We start from the raw sequence: 17,106 nt of genomic DNA, 5'->3' as shown, positions 1-17,106 counted from the left end.
TTTTGCTGAAAGATATTAAGGAAAAACTAAATAGAGCAATATATGTGTTAATGAGTAGGAAGATTTGATTTTGCAGTGATTTAATTCTTCCAAAATTGATCTAGAGACTCAATGAAACTCCAATCAAAACCCCAACAGGATTTTGTGGAACTTTACGAACTAATTCTAAAATGCACATGAAATAGTAAAGGACCAAAAAAAGCTGATTCACATCTGAAGAAAAGAAAGGAATGCTTGCTCTGCCCTGTGTCTGGACTTGTTAAAGCTACATAACCACCTGTAAAGCAACTAAGACAGTATGATGTGGTCACAGAGATGCTCTGACCTGCTAGTCCAGAAACAGACCCCCCATACCCACATATGGAAGTTTATTACATGATTAAGACTATATAATTTGTCACACAAACTGAGGTACTTTAGGGGGAACTATTTATTCACGGTTATGCCAAGCCAACAAATGGAAACTATCATTGAACTGGGCAAATGAGGATGCATGCCCAGTATATCTGTGGCAGCACTGGAGGTAAATAAGCAGAAGCAGCTTTTGGTGGGAACTAAGACATTTCATCTGCAGACAGAGGTGGGAAATGGAGTGCAAATAAAGACATGAGTGGGGTGCTGGATTCGATGATAGGCATGTGGCCTGCCTTACTACTTTTATCTTTTCAGTGAATTTGGAAGCAACATAGTCAGCTAAGAGTGAATAGGAAAGGAGCCCAGAAAGCTGGGGCGAGAGAAGACAGTGTGATTGTTCTGGAGAGTAGAAGGACAAAAATCCAAAGGATAGATGGCAGGATTGCCAGGCAGTGTCAAGGGCTAATGTTAGATCGATGTCAGGAATTTGTAGATCACTGAGCACAATTATGCATTTTTCTCCTGACATATTTAACTGCTTAAATGATATAATGTGAAATCTAAACTAGTAAAAAAGGAAAAGAGAGAAAGGGGATCATAGACAATGAAAATGTGGTAGGCCATGGATTAGAGGTCTGTGGGGTGATAACACTAGAAGCTCCCGCCAGGAGGGTGGGACAGGAGTCGGAGAGCAGGTACCTTAAAACGAAGATGTTGAAGATGGTGCCGTTTACTGGTGATGAAAGAGCAAGGGACCCATGGAAACTGGGGTTGGCAATATTATTATCTGGGTCCTAAAATCATAGATCATGCAATGTTAGAGCTTCAGTCCAGAGAGGTGAATTGCTTGTCAAAAGTGCTAAGAGAGAATGTTTATTGAGATCTTACTATTTTCCAAGAGCACAGAGATGAAAGTATGACAAGCACCCTTGGCTGAAAGGGCATCCTTACTTCTTCACAGTTGTAATCTCTCTGTCACTCATTTTATTAACTTGAAGGTCAAGTAGGAGAGACAAGAAAAGGCACACTTTTCTGTTTTTGTTTTTAAATCCTTATGGAAGCCAAAGAGAAAAAGTATTAATAACACAGTTGTCCTGGCTGCTTTGGTCGTATTCCAAGCTGGGATATGGCTGGCCCTCTTCCTTACAGGCACATTGAGTGTATCAAGAGAAATGGACTCACACTTAAAAAAAAACACAAATTAATAGCAGGAAAGGGTTGGGGAGAGATATCCAATTCTGTATATAAAAGATTATTCATAGCTTACAGTGGTAGCACTGAAGGGAAGTCTGGGGGTTTAGAGCCAACACTCTCATTATCCTAAATATAAACATTACAAACTAAGTATGCTTGCTACATAGACATTGCCTCTAGATAAATCCCCTAATAGCGCCTAGAATGCCACTCCAAGCCCCTGCTATTTAGAAATTCTGTACCTCCCACAGCAGGTTGGCAAAAATCTTTCTAACATTCTCTGACTCTTCCTAGTCCACAGCAGGTTGGCAAAAATCTTTCTAACATTCTCTGACTCTTCCTAGTCCACAGCAGAAGAGGGAGAGCTTCGAATTTATTTTGGATTCTGCAGTGATAGGAAGAGAGGCAAGTACAGGCTGAAAAAAAGGATCAGAAATTCAAATTACTTCAAAAACCCAGGTTTTGGTATGAATGGTGGAAATGTCTTCCTTTTCTTTTCTCAAATCAAAGTCCCTCAGATTTGGCAAGCCAGTGTGAGAGATGTGAGGTTGTTTCAAGTGTGGCTATGTAGACCCAGAGATTGATTTCATGGCCGGGTACAACTGAAAATCAGATACCTTGTGCTTCAGTCATGTCCCTGCATTTGAGAGTCATGAAAATTAAAGCTGCCCCACAGTGTTTCCTTTCATGCTCCTGATAACAAGTCTACTTCTCAGCTCTCTTTAAATTGAGATTTCCGGATCAACCTGGTATTCCCACAAATGGACGTTTACATAACTGAGCAAAAAGGAGGCAAGAAATAACTGCCTTTGGCTTGTGGTTTTCTAGGAGAAATGTTTAAAACATACTGAGAATGTTTTAAAGCTTTTCTAATCATCTTCATTTTCAATATAATGACTTTTTTTCTTTGTGAAGATAAAAAGAAGAGGCAAAGAGGAACTACATCTCATGGTCCTTTTAAGTTTTTTGCCTCTGCGTACTGTAATACTCTTATTGAAACTATCTGATTTTCCTGGGATCCCTGGAGAACGGTGAGTAGAAATGATCAGTGTTCATACACCCCAAGGCCTTGCCCAGGGCAGGTATACTGGCAGTGTGTGTCTGTGTGCCCAGGGCAAGGTATACTGGCAGTGTGTGCCTGTGTGCCTGGGACATTCTGCTCTTATCACCCTGCTTAGTCAGAAACACCCAGGGATTAAGGTTCTACCTACCAGTTTCCCATTGTCTAGTTAACGCCTAAATAATTCCAGCATGTTTCCACCCAACTACAAGTCTCGATTCTCCTTCTGGGTACTCCTGAAAGAGTAAACGTTCCCACCCAAACTGAAGACCAAGGAACCCACTGTTGCAGGAATCATGTGACCCTGAGTACACACAGCTCCCCAGGGAGAAGGCCACAGGGCAAGCTCTCAACTCTGGACAGAAATGAGGACACCCAGGAACTCCATGCTTAAGCGTTTCTATGCCCAGCCTGGATCTGGGAGTCCAGCACTCTTTAGCAGGGGCTAAGGAGAAAAATGGGACTGACTTTTAAGTTCTAATTACCTGGGAAACTTTTGAACCCTCAGGGGCCCAGGTTATACCTCAGATCTAACGAAGCAGAATTTCTGGGTGTAAGTCTCAGGTGTGTGTTTTTTGGAAAGATCTCAAAGAGATTCATATACACGGGTAAGGTTGCAATTCATGGTCCTCCCTTAGCACAGGAAGTGGAGTCCTCATACTTCACAAAAGATCTGTGTTTCTGCCTCCCTGCCTGACCCCAGACCTAACTGTCGGACTGTGGGAGTGTGTGTGTGACAACCTTCCCTCCCTGAGGTGCAGACAAGAATGCCAACCAGATGTCAAACCATCACATGCCTGCCATTCAGACAAAAGGCGGAGTACTGCACTCCACCACCGCCAGTCCCCAGGCTTCCTGGGAGGGAAGAAGACCCAAGGACCAGCTCCCGAAGAAAACCGATCATCTCCCACCCGCCTCCCCAGGTAGTACTGTCATTTGATTGGCACAGTTTTGAGACAATGCATTAGGAACAACAGAGAATTTGCTGAGTGGAAGAAAGGTAGGAGGTCTGATGAGAAAAACAACCCCTGCCAGGAGGAGAAAAGAGGTGCTTTCTCCTTCAGCTCTGTTTGGATAACCAGTAGGTGAACTCTCAAAGTAAATGACCTGGTTTCTCCAACTGTAGCTGAAGCACAAGATATTTCTGTTCCTAAGCAACAGACAGATGCCTTGATTTCCCACCCTAGCTCAGGCTGGAATAATTGAATTCCCTGTTTCCTTTACGGCTCAGCCCCTGCTTCCTACCTACCTGCGGGGCAAAAGCTTGAAATGCGCTGTCCCCTTCCCCGATGCTATTTCACACACACAGACAGTAATTTTCAGAAAGACTTGGTCCTGTTCTTTTTGGGTACAAGGAAAGGAACATAATCTAGAACGCCATCTGTCTTCCTGAAATAGCCAATAGTGGCACTATTTTTACCCAGCAATTATCAAACAAATGGAGTCATTTGAAAGAGTCACAGCTGTTCCTCGGTGTTATCTCAGTACAAATATGACACAGCGCATGCTGATTTTGTTTTCTGCTTTGTGTCTCATGTACACCAAGGCAGTGATAATTTCTCAACCTCCCATCCGAACACAAGTCAAAGTGTGTACTCCACAACTGAGTCACTCACCCAAATTAAAAATCCCTCATTATCTTGATTACATGGTCAGGGTTTCATTAAATGTGGTTCTCATTTAGAAAGCAAATGCAATGAACTGCACATTTCAGCGTGAGTGCGAGGAAGCTGTTCAATCTCACAGAACACAAGATTTTTCCTGGTTAAATGCAACCTGAAACAAGTATCGGTACTCTTGATTTTATATGTATGTTAGCATTTTTAACCAAAAAGCAAAATTATGCAAAATGAATCCGATTTTTCCATTATCAACCTGCATCATAAATTCAGGAAGATGCCCTATTGAAATAAATATCCCTAGTAAACACAGTAAACACGCACTCACACACACGTGCATGTGCACACACACACGCACACACACAAACACGCAACTCTATCAAGCATCTATCATTCTTTTTATCCACCTGTATCTGAACCCTAGGTTAGAACTGGGTTTGGGAAATTCCCCAACCTAACAAGGCAGTGGTCACCTTCCACAATGACTGCAAAAATACCAAAGACTTGCTTTCCCAGCTTCCTTGGCACCTGGGACAAAGGAACATGGTCTAGACACCACCAATCAGACATACGCACCCCAGTGTACAGAGATCACCCAGTGTTCCCTCTGGGAATAGAGATGCCATAAGGAATACAGAGGCCCCACAATGCAGGTCTGGTGCAGGCATGCATGGTTTGGTACCAATGGCACCTGGGGTGCCATCTGCAGCCTTTAGTGCTCTGCAGTAACAGGAGTATCCACCAACCCAGCTCTACAGGCTGACTTGGACTCTGTCCCTGGCTTCATAGCTACAATCTGGCTCTCCAGCCCTCCCAGAATCTGTGAACCAAGCAGCATCTTTTAAACAATTCATTTGCTGCTTAAATCAACCAGCACTGGTGTTTATTGCCACAACCAAAAACCTTACATGAGAAAAAAAATTTTAATGTTTTAACCACATGAAAACCAATAATATCCTTGAAGTTTTCGTTACCCTTCAAAATTGTCCATCTCTTTCCTAATTCTTGAGTTTTCGGTCTTTATTTTATGTACACCCAATCCACATAAATTTCTCTAATTCCCAAAGATTCCCTGATTCCTCACTTCCAACTAGGAATGTAACCAAACATAGAAAGGTCAAAGTCACAGAAGGGAGATACAGGTTGACACAGCCCTTTTTGTATAAGAATATTCCCCAAGGATCAAGAAGCATTACATCTATACTCTAAAGCCATAACACTGATATCAGGTGATGCACAGAGCAGCCCTTATCAATTTTGAGCAATGCTTCTCAAACTGTAATCTGCTTATGAATCTCATGGCAATTGTGCCAAAATGTAGACTGATTTAGTACGCCTAAAATTCCACAGCTCTAACAAGCTCCCAGGCAGGTTACTGATCCACAACTGCACTTTGCATAGCAAAGTTTTGAATGCTCAGGTAACTATTCCAATGTCCCCAGAATAAAACTCTCCCCAAAGAGAAAAAATTCAGTGTGTTTTCTTTCCATTTTCTGGAGCTCATCTCCCTACTTTTCCTTTTAATTTTATATTTAGAATAACCAGACTCTAACGTGGCAATACATTCCATCATTTGGCACATGCCTCACACCAAATGGAAAATTTCTTATGTGCAAAGTGTTAGAACATGTAAAAAAAAAAAAAAAAAATCTTGCTGCATTGGCTCTGAAAATGTTAAATTCTATAAAACTAGCCTATTTAATACAAGAGCCATTTAGGCTTTCAGTTTGGATACTACAGAGAAAATTGTCTACTTTATGGTCCCAAAGAGTCTCATCTGGATGGACTCTAACTTTTTTTCAAATATAAATTAAAGGTATGAAGACTTATCTTTGAAGCACTGTAATACCTGGGCACAAACGTGTGATGACACAAGAAAGAAATATTCTCTGTACCTTGTCTGATATAAAAATATATTGTGTATGTACAGTTGTTCCTCGGTATACACAAGGGATTTGTTCTAGGAACCATCACCCCCTCATATAAAAAAATCCACATACACTCAAGTCCTGCAGTAGGCCCTGTGGAACCCACTCATACAAAAAGTCGGCCCTCCAGATATGTGGCATTCACATCCCGCAAATGCTGTCTGGTAGGAAAACATCCACATGTGAGTGGATCCACACAGTCCAAGCCCACATTGTTCAAGGGTCAACTGTATTTCCAGGTCACACTTTCCTCTCCTGCACTTAATAGAGTTCCACAGTAATGTCTTTGAAAGGGACTGTCCCTTGTCAATAGGAACAAAATTGTTTTGCAAAATTCTATGCAACTAGAGTTCACAGTTCATATTCACCATCCTCTATAACGCTGGTGCCATCAGCAGCTCTTACCCCCAAATTCACCTCCAAAATTGGTCATCACATTTTTCTGAGTATTTCTGAGTATTAATCTGAGTATTTTTCTGAGTATTAATTATTCTGAGTATTAATGCAATTACTGAAGGCAGAATATATTCTCCTTTACTTAAAACACTGACAACTCCTCACTAAACATATCCAACATTTCACAATACATACGAAAATTTTAAAAGGCCCACCATCCCGTTTTAATACCTCTAGAAAGAACTGCCATCAGTTATGGTTTCCTAAAAGACCACAGGGTAGAGGAAGACATCATCCTACTTTTGGCTATCATAACATGTAGTTCTGTTTTTTATATGATGATGGATAGCTTAGATTACTGGTCAGAATAGGAAATGGTTCATTAATTAGGGACATTTTAGCACTCCTGTGAATATTCACCCTTGGGGTATTACACATGGATTCTCTTCCCACTTTGCTCACTTTGTACCTCCCCTACTCATGTGAGAAAATGATTTTTTAAAAATGCATCAAAGTTAGGCTATGAATAAATGTTATTCACAAAAGAGATTCATTTTCAGGTGAATATTCTGAACAACATCAAGCTCTGTGGCCAATGGGCATAGGCAGTAAGTACGAAGGAAGGGGCCAGTGGCAGCCAGGGCTCTGGTGGAAAGACAGTAGGAGAAAAAGGAAAGACGGTTTGTTAAGGAGAAGCGAGGCAAACCCAGCATGACAGAAAGAGGCCTGAGATGAACCAGGAAAAAATGCCTATCCATCCTCTCATCCCATTTCATTCCTGATTGGCTGTGACATGGTGGTTTCTCTTCAGATAATGGGAAAAGCCTATAACTCTTTCGGGGAAAGAATTATGCTTTTTCAACCAAGGACTCTCCAAGCTTGCAATAGCAAACATTAGGGACTATTTGAGATCATATACTTAAATTTCACAGGTTTTTATAACTCATGGGTCCTCTTTTCCCAGGAAGGATCTATCTATAATCAATATTTTAGTTGGCCCATTCTCAGTAAAACATTGAACCCTCTTTAACAAATGATTGCCTTTCATGAAAAAAACAAACAGATAAGGCTAATGAAATTGCTTTTGGATACATCCTACCTATGAATACAACGTTTTAATATGAGTCTCATCTGTATTCTACTCAAAATCAAATTATTGTCATTGTAACTGTTTACCAGAAAAGATTAATGAATTATTTTTACCAATGTGTAAACAATTTATGCAAAACTAAACATAGTCAATAGAGATTGAATTAGGCATCCAGACAAGAGCTAACTCCCTGCCCTGAAAGAGAATAAAACAAGAGAAGCCATGAGCTGTGATGAGGGCAGCTGAACCAACGTCTGTATTCCCCAAAGCACAAAACAGAGTAGAAAGAATTCTATATGGGATGTGCCCTGGGTCTTAGCAGCCCAACACCTTTCTACTCAGTTCCTCTTCTCAGTTACCACAGAAAATAATGAGCAAGAAATTGTCTTCTCTTGAGAAGAAACAGGAAGGGGCAGGAAAAGCACAATGAAGAGTTGAAGCTGCTGAGATCCAGTTAAATTCATGTGAACTAATGCAGGAAGATCTCAAACATGTTTCAAATCAAGACTTATCTTCAAATTGGCTGTATTAAGAACTTTTAAATTTAGATAAGACAGCCCCAGGTATGATGGTATATTAAGGGAGAAAATTATAAATAAACCAGATATCCAAAAATAAGGGAAGACCTAACATTAAAAAAAGATAAATATTTAAGAGGATTGATATCCCAATTACCCTGACTTGATCTTTACACATTATATGAAAGTATCAAAACATTATATATGTACTCTAAAAATAGGTACATCTATTATATATCAATTAAAAATATGTATTTACAAAGAAATAAACAAAAATAAGGGAAGAGTTTATGAGTATGCATTGGGCCATTCATTATGCATCAATCAATGCTATAAGACAATATAGCAAATGTTTATAATTGTTTTAAAATCAAGGTATGAAGCTGCATACATAGTGTAATTGAAACTATTGATAACTACTATTTATTGAATACTTCATATTTTATTTTCAATCCCTGCTACAATATTGCAAGGAAGGTACAATTACCCACACATTTTACTGGTAAGAAAATGAGTCTTAAAGAAGATAATATTCCCAAAATAAAAAAGAATTAAAAATGGAACAGTGATAATAAATTGTAGGGTCAAGCAACTCCAAAGTCTCATTTTACCAACAATATTGCCTAAAAACTTCATAGAGGACAAAAACTACTGAAAGAAAATGTGCTATGACAACACTTTATAGAAGGGCATTTTATATCATTTAATATATTGTCTATAATGCGGTATTGTTTTTATAATTATTGTAATTTCATGTGAAAAAGTTAAGGAATCCAGCTCTGATCATAATATAGTAATAGGGATTAAATTTATCTTTCTGCCTTAAACAACCACAACACTGGACAAAATATATAAAATAATGGTTTTTAAAGATGCAGGAAAGCAGGCAACACTAAATGGTGATCCCTGAGAGAAAGAATAAATGAATGAAGTGATCCCTGTGGGTGCTCCAGCTCACTGCCTGGAGAGCAGGTCACGGGACAGGGAAGGGGAGCCCAAACAGACCCAGAACAGAGTCTTGCTGAGTTGAATAGAAGCAGGGTGGAGTTTGGGGAAGCCACAGTGACTAGAATTTGTGGGGTAAAGCACTGCAGAAGAGACATTCACAGACAGGATTTCCTTTGAGTCTTTGAGTACAGATCAGCACATGTGTATTAAGAAACTAACAAGACCAGGAAAAGAACCACCAGAAAGGTACAATCAAAAAATCCCTAGAGCTCATAAAAAGCTGGGAATAATTTACATTGTCACTAGCCAGTGGGCAAAAAATACTAATATATAGAGTATAAAGTGGAATACTTAAAGGTTGATTGCCTCATTAGTAGGGCCAAATTAGCAGTAGATTATCGGATGATTTATACCCATCTAAAAAGGTTTAAAAGCAAGTTTCAACAAAACTAGATGAAGTCAAGCTGGCTTAACTGCCTTCCAGAACATAGCCAAAAATACTTAAAGAAATAAAATGAACCACCGTCCAACAATATAAAATTCACAATATCTAACATCCAACCAAAAATTACCAGGCAGGCAAAAAAGAAAAATGGGGAGTGGGAGTGGGAGGGATTCAATAACTAGAAACAGACCCAGTAATGACAGAGATTATAGAATTATTAGGCAAGGTAGTTAAAACGGCTATTATAAATGTACTCCACAAAGGCATATTGAGAACAGAAATGGAAGATAAAAAGAGACATAGGTCAAATTTATGGAGATGAATAATATAATAACTGAGATGAAAAATACACTGATGAGATTAACAGATTAGTTATTGTAGAAGATTTAGGGACATGAAGACATTGCAATAAAACCTAGACAAAATAAAACACACAGAGTAAAAAGACTTTTAAGAAAAGAAACTCAAAAGAAGATAACATCATGTGGCCTACCATACATATAACTGGAGTTTCAGAGAAAAGAAGTGTAGCAAAAATATTTGAAGAAACAATTGGCCAAAAAAGTTTACCAATATGAAGAAAATTATAAACCTACATATCCAAGGAGTTTGGTAAACCCCAAGCAGAAACAATAAGAACACCAAACTAAAGTACATCATCATCAGGTATCTAAAAAAACAGTGACAAAGAAAAACTGAAAAGCAGGCAAGAAAAAAAAAAGATATCACATTACATACAAAGGAACAGCAATGAGAATGACAATATATTTCTCATCAGAAACAATGCAAGTCAGAAGACAGTGGAACAACGTATTTAAAGCAATGAACAAAATAGCTGGCAAACTAGAAGTCTATATCTAGCAAAAATATCCTTCAAAAATGAAAGTAAATACTTTTTCAGACATGCAAAATCTAAAAGAATATATCATGAGCATCATTGCACATAGTAAAGGAAGTCCTTCAGTAAAAGGCAAATAATACCAGATGGAAATTTGTATCTACACAAAGGGATGAAGAGCATCAGAAATGGTAAAAGAGTGACTAGATATAAATTTTTTCTTATTTTTAATATACTTAGAAGATAACTTCTAAAGCAAAGATAATAACATATTGTTGTGTATCTTGGTCAATTTGGGCTTCTATAACAAATTAGCAGATTGGGTGGTTTAAACAACAAATATTTATTTCTCACAGTTCTGTGGGGAGGGAAGTCCAAGTTCAAGGCACTGGAAGATGTAGTGTCTGGTTAGAGCCTGCTCCCAGGTTTGCAGATAGCCATCTTCTCTTCATAACCTCACATGGCAGAGAACAAAAAAAGGGAAAGAAAACTCTCTCATGTCTCTTATTATAAGGACCCTAATCTCATTCATGAGGGATCCATTCTCTTGACCTAACTATCTCCCAAAGCTTTCACCTACAAATGCCATCACATTGGGCATTAGGCTTCAATAGGTGAGTTGTGGAGGGATACAAACATTCAGTCCACAGCAGTTGGGTGTATAACATATGTGGCAGTAAAATGTATGACAACAACACAAAGACCAAGAGAAATAGAACTATACAATTTTAAGTTTCTTAAAATATGTGGAAATCACTGTAATATTATTTGAAAGTAGATGTTGATAAATTTAAAAGTTATACTGTAAACTCTAGAGCAACCATTAAACAACAAAAAAGATAGAGCTAATAAGCCAAAAAAACCTAAAATATAATATTAATAAATTTTCATTTAATCCAAAAGAAGGTAGAAACAAAGCAAAAAGAATAAAGACGGTAAGACAAATAGAAAACAAATAATAAAATGGTAGGTTTAAATCCAACCTTAAATGGAAATGTCTAAACTCACCAACTAAAAAACAGACTATAAAATTGGATAAAAGGACAATACTCAACTATGTATGCTATCTGCAGGAAATACTCTTTAAGTAAAAAGACAGAATTATTACAAGTAAAAAAGATAGAAAAAAGATAAACCACACTAAAACTAACCGAAATAAAGCTGAGTGGCTATACTAAGGTTAAATTTCACAATAAAATATTACCAAAGAAAAGGATCATTTCATAATCATAAAGGGATCAAGTCATCAGGAGTACATAGAAATCTTGAATGTTTATTCAGATAATAAAAAACTTCAAAATGCATGAAGCAAATGCTGATGGAATTAGAAGGATAAATGTACAGACTAATTCATAAGCATTGTTGGATATTTTAATACCAGAACCTCAATAATTGATAGAAAAAGTAGACAGAAATTCAGTAAGGATATAAAACACTAGAAAAACACTATCAATAAAATTAATCAGCATTTATAGAACAACCAACAAAAACAAAATATTCTTATAAAGTGAACATGGGACATTTACCCAGACCATAATCTGGGCAACAAAACAAGTCTTAACACATTTAAAAGGAATCATCTCATACAAATGTTATTGAAAGAGAGTTAAATAAGAAATCAATAATAAAAAGGTTTCTAGACAGTTCCCCCAAATATTTGGAAACTAAAGAACATACTTATAAATATCCCATGATTAAAAGAAGTCAAAAGGGAAATTTAAAAATTTTTTGAAATGAATAAAAATGAAGACAAAATATACCAAAATGAATGCAATGCAGCAAAAGTAGTGCTTATATTATAAAAATACAAATATTTAAAATCAATGCTTCCATTTTAAGAAATCTGACAAATAAGAGCAAAATATAACAAAGTAAGCAGATGAAAGGTAATAATAAGCAGATGAAAGCAAAAATTAAGGAAATAAAATTTTTTTAAATAACAAAAAAATCTAAACCAAATGTTATTTCTTTGGAAAAAACAATAAAATTGATAAACCTCTAATCACACTGATTAAGATTAAAAAAAGAGAGAAGACACCATTCTCAGAAAAGAGAGAAAGAACATCTCTTTAAATCCTTCCCAGACTACCCTTCCCAGACTCTGGCAACTATTATTCTACTCTCTACTTTAGGGAAAGAAAATTTAGACCAATATTTTTCATGAACAAGAATATAGACACACAAAACTCTTAAAATGTTATCCAAAGAAACCCAACCTAAAAGAGGTAATACATAAGAACAAGTGGAGTTTATCCCAATAATACAAGACTGATTCAACATTCAAAACTCAATGTAATTCAACATATTAACAGACTAGTTAAAGAAAACCATATGATCTTCTCTACAGATGCAGAAAAAGCACTTGGCAAAATTCAACATCTATTTTTGATCAAAACTTTCAGCAAACTAGGAATAGAAGGAAACTGCCTCAACTTCATAAAGAGCATCTTTGAAAAATCTACAAGCAACAGCAGACTTAATGGTAAAAGACTAAATGCTTTCCCCCAAGACTGGGAGCAAGGTCATCCTATTCAACAGTACAAACTTGTTAAATCACTTCCTAAGTCTGTCATATTTCTTATGCTGATGTAAATAGTATTGTTTTTTATTGTAAATAGTAATGTATTTTCATTGTAAATAATATTGTTTTAAGTTAATTGCTAGTATATAGAAAAACAATTTTTGTATATTTTCCCTTGCATCTTGTTAGACTCATTTATTAATTCTCGTAGCTTTTATGTAGATTCCAATTCATAGTTCAGAGCATATGGGTCTTCTAGACGTTGGCTACAGGGGAAATTCACTGAAGACAAACTAGCAAAATTCTCACAAACCGCATGAGAAAATGAGTCACCGTGAGGTTAAATCAGCAAATAAAGGGTTTTACTTCCTCCTTTTCAACCTATATGCCATTTATTTCTTTTTCTCAACAAATTTTAACGTACAAACAAGAAAATCCAGGAAGAATTTATTCACAGAAAATGATGAGTTAATTCTAAAATTGACATGGAAATAAAATGACCTAGATTACCCAAAACAGGATTGAAAAAATGAAAAAGAAAAAGATTTACACTACCTGATTTCAACACTTATTATATATAAAGCTACAGTAATCAAAGCAGTATGATATTAGCATAAAGATAGACACATAGAACAATGAAAGAGAAGAGAGACTCCAGAAATAATCTCAAACATATATAAATACTTTTCAGGAAAAATGCCTAGATAATGCAACCGGGAAAGGATAATCTCAACAAGTGCTATTAAAATAATTACATGTGCATATGAAAAAAAAAATGAGCCTAGACCCTTAGCTCACAACATAAGCAAAAATATAAAATGCATCACAGATCTAAATGTAACATCTAAAACTATAAAACTTCTAGGAAAAAACATTGGAGAAAATTCTTTTGACTTTGGATTAGGCAAAGATTTCTTCTGTAGAACACAGAAGGCACTAAATATAAAAGAAAAAATAATTGGATTTTATCAAAATTTAAAATTTTTACTCTTTAAAGCATGCTGTTAGAAAAACTAAAAGGCAAGCCACAGACTACAGGAGAGTATTTGCAAAATACATATCTGACAAAGAACTTGTATGCACACTAAAGAACCCTCATAATGCAATAATAAGACAAACATAATTTTTAAATGAACAAAAGATTTGAACACATATATTACCAAAGAATAGGTATAGATGGCAAATAAGCATATGAGAAGATGGTCAACATCATTAGTCATTGGAAAAATGCAAATTAAAACCAACATGAGATACCTTGTTATAACCATGAGAATGACAAAAATAAAAATAAATTGATGATATCAAGTATAATAGAAGATGTAAAGCAACTGGAAATGTCATACATTGCTAGGGAGAATACAAAATGGTACAGCCACTATGGAAAACATTTTGGCAATTATTTTTTCCTTTCTCCCCCACCCTCCTCTTCCTTTTTTGGCAATTTTTTGTAGAGCTAAATGTGTACCCATCTACCATATAACCCAGCCCCAGCAAGTCAACTCCTAGGTATTTACCCAAGAAAAATTAAAGCATGTATCCACACAAATACTTATACACGAGTATTCATAATAGTTTTTTTTTTCAGACTACAAAGGTGGTTTCCTTTATTTTGGTAAACTTTAAAGATCTCATTTTGATACTAATTCAAAATGCCAAATAGAATGACCCACTTTCTGAATAATTAAAACAACTTACATTTTAAACATGTATTTCTGTAGGATGTATTCTATCATCTGAAATATTAATAAGATCCAATAATTTCTTAAGTAAACAGTAAACTGATCCTAAGTATATAATCTGTGATCAATTTCGTAAGACTAAGTTTACTGCACCTTAATTCCAGATATAAAATGATTTAGAAAGCATTTTGACTGGGGGAGGTGGAAAATAAGGACAGGTAAATGATCTGCAGCTTAAATACAAAATCCTGTCACATTACATCTCACATGTTCAAGACACCCTCCATGTGCTGAAAAAAAATGATGATTCCCAGAAACAGTATAATCCATTAATAAGTCACCCAATATATAACAATTTTTAAAACTCTTTATAAAAAAGGAGTCCATGTATTCACAGATACTGTAGAATCTCCAGCTCCTATGTATATTACTGAAAAATGCAAATAAATATATCTTTGCGGTATTACGGCAATCCACATCTTTCCCATCAGACTATACCAGTCACCTTAGTACTGTGGAAATGTTCCACCGTTTTGGGCAGCCCAGGCCATGAGGTCCCCCACAATATTCCAAACTGTTAAATAGTCTAACTCTTGAGCTGCTGATGAGGCCTGGAGGATCTTCACGGCTTTCTGTGATTCATTTCCCAGTTTGTAAATCACATAAATGAGGAGAGCAGCCCCTTCTTGTGTGCCCTGTTTCCCTTTCCGGACTGCTTCTCCTAAGAGCTTCAGGCTCTCCGCATCCCTGCGTTCAGAGGGATGTGTAGGGCATGAGGCAAAAGACAGATGCTCACCTCCATCTTAGGCCTGATGTCCAGCAACAGATGGGGTGCCCCAGAATCCAGAAGTCGCTTATAGTCAGTGACAGAAACACGATCCTCTGGGCCCAGTAACTGCAGGGAGCGGCATTTATCGGTGGCTGAGGAGCCACAGAAGGCTTCATAGTCCAGCAGATGAGTCACAGTGGGCCATTTCCCGCAAGCTGCACAGTCGAGCCTGCAGCTCCGCAGCCGAATACAGCAGAAATGCCCTCTCAGGGCATCAAAGAGCAACAGGCTGCCACTGTAAGAGGGGCCCAGACTCGCAGCAATTTTCAGCACTTTCAAGGCCTGCAGGCAGCCCAGGACCCCGGTTAAGACACGGAGCATCCCGCCATCCGCGCAGTTGGTCACTGTCTCCGCCGGGGGTGGCTGGGAGAATATGCAGCGATAGCAAGGCCCACCGTCATAATGGTAGACTGTGATTTAGCCCTCCAGGCGCTGGCAGACACTAGGGCCCAACCGGCCAGCCACATGCGTCATTAACCAGGTAGCGAGTGGACACGTTGTCCGAGCAGTCGCCACCACATCATATCGGCGGAGCGGGTCTAGGGTAGGGACCGGCATAAAAGGGCCTGAGAGTACCGCACTCATTCCACCGCCAAATTGAGGCCGCGCAGCGAGGCGGCGGCCGAAGCGGCCTTGGCCTGTGCAGCCAGTGCCTCGCCATGCAGCACTTGGTAGGCCAGGTTGCTCATCTCTACCACATCATAATCCACAAGGCCAAGGCGGCCCACGCTGGCCGCTGCCAAGTACTGCGCCAGTGGACAGCGGAGCCCACCGCAGCCCACGACTAGCACGTGTCTGTGCACGCCCAGCTCGGGCAGCACTAACTGCCGGCTAGAGCGCAGAATCTCATCTTGGAACACAGCGGCCTTCCGCGGCAGCTGCAACACCGAAACCAGTCGTTCTGGCTGCGGTTCCTGCTCCGCCAAAAGGGCCGCTGCCAGCTTCTGCTTCAGGGAATTCAATTCCTCCTCACGTTGGACAACGTCAGCCTGTAAGGGGAGTACCTCCTCCTGGGTCGTAATAGTTTTATTCATAATAGTGGAAAATTTGAAACAACCCCAAGTCTACCAATTGGTGAATGGATAAACAAATTGTGGTCTATTCATACAAAAGTATATTCCTCCACATAAAACAGAACAAATTACCAGAATAGTCCATGCAGTATTGAAGAAGAACAAAGTTGGAGGACTGATACTACCCAACTTCAAGACGTGCTATAAAACTACAGACAATGTAGCATTGGTGAAAGAATAAATCGATCAATAGAATAAAACAGAGGGCCAAGAATTAGACCCACATACATACAGTCAACTGATTTTTGACAAAGGAGCAAAGGCAATACAATGGAGCAAAGATAATCTTTTCCACGACTGGTGCTGGAACAACTGGGCATTGATATGCAAAAAAAAAATGAATCTAGACAGACATTTCACCCTTCACAAAAATTAACTCAAAATGGATCACAGCCTTAAATGTAAAACACTAAACTACAAAACCCCTAGAAGATAACATAGGAGAAAATCTGGATGATCTGGATTTGGTGATGATTTTTTACATGCGGCAGCAAAGGCACAATCCACAAAAGAAAGAATTGATAAGTTGGACTTTATTAAAATTAAATCTTTCCGCTCTGTGAAAGAGAAAGTCAAGTGAATGAGAACATATGCCACAGACTGGAATAAGATAT

At 38.0% G+C, this 17,106-nt stretch overlaps 1 protein-coding gene and 1 pseudogene across 10 annotated transcripts in view; both read right to left on the bottom strand.

Annotated features, from left to right (window-relative positions):
* SYT16 (synaptotagmin 16) overlaps positions 1 to 17,106 on the bottom strand; it is a 300,664-nt gene that overhangs the window by 232,181 nt on the left and 51,377 nt on the right. The window lies entirely within an intron of this gene.
* On the bottom strand, positions 14,496 to 16,434 carry MOCS3P1 (molybdenum cofactor synthesis 3 pseudogene 1; annotated as a pseudogene).

The sequence above is a fragment of the Homo sapiens genome, chromosome 14 (genome assembly GCF_000001405.40).
Source record: "Homo sapiens chromosome 14, GRCh38.p14 Primary Assembly".
Classification (NCBI taxonomy): Eukaryota; Metazoa; Chordata; class Mammalia; order Primates; family Hominidae; genus Homo; species Homo sapiens.
Note: the sequence above shows the minus strand (reverse complement) of the source record. Positions and strands in the feature narration are given on the sequence as shown.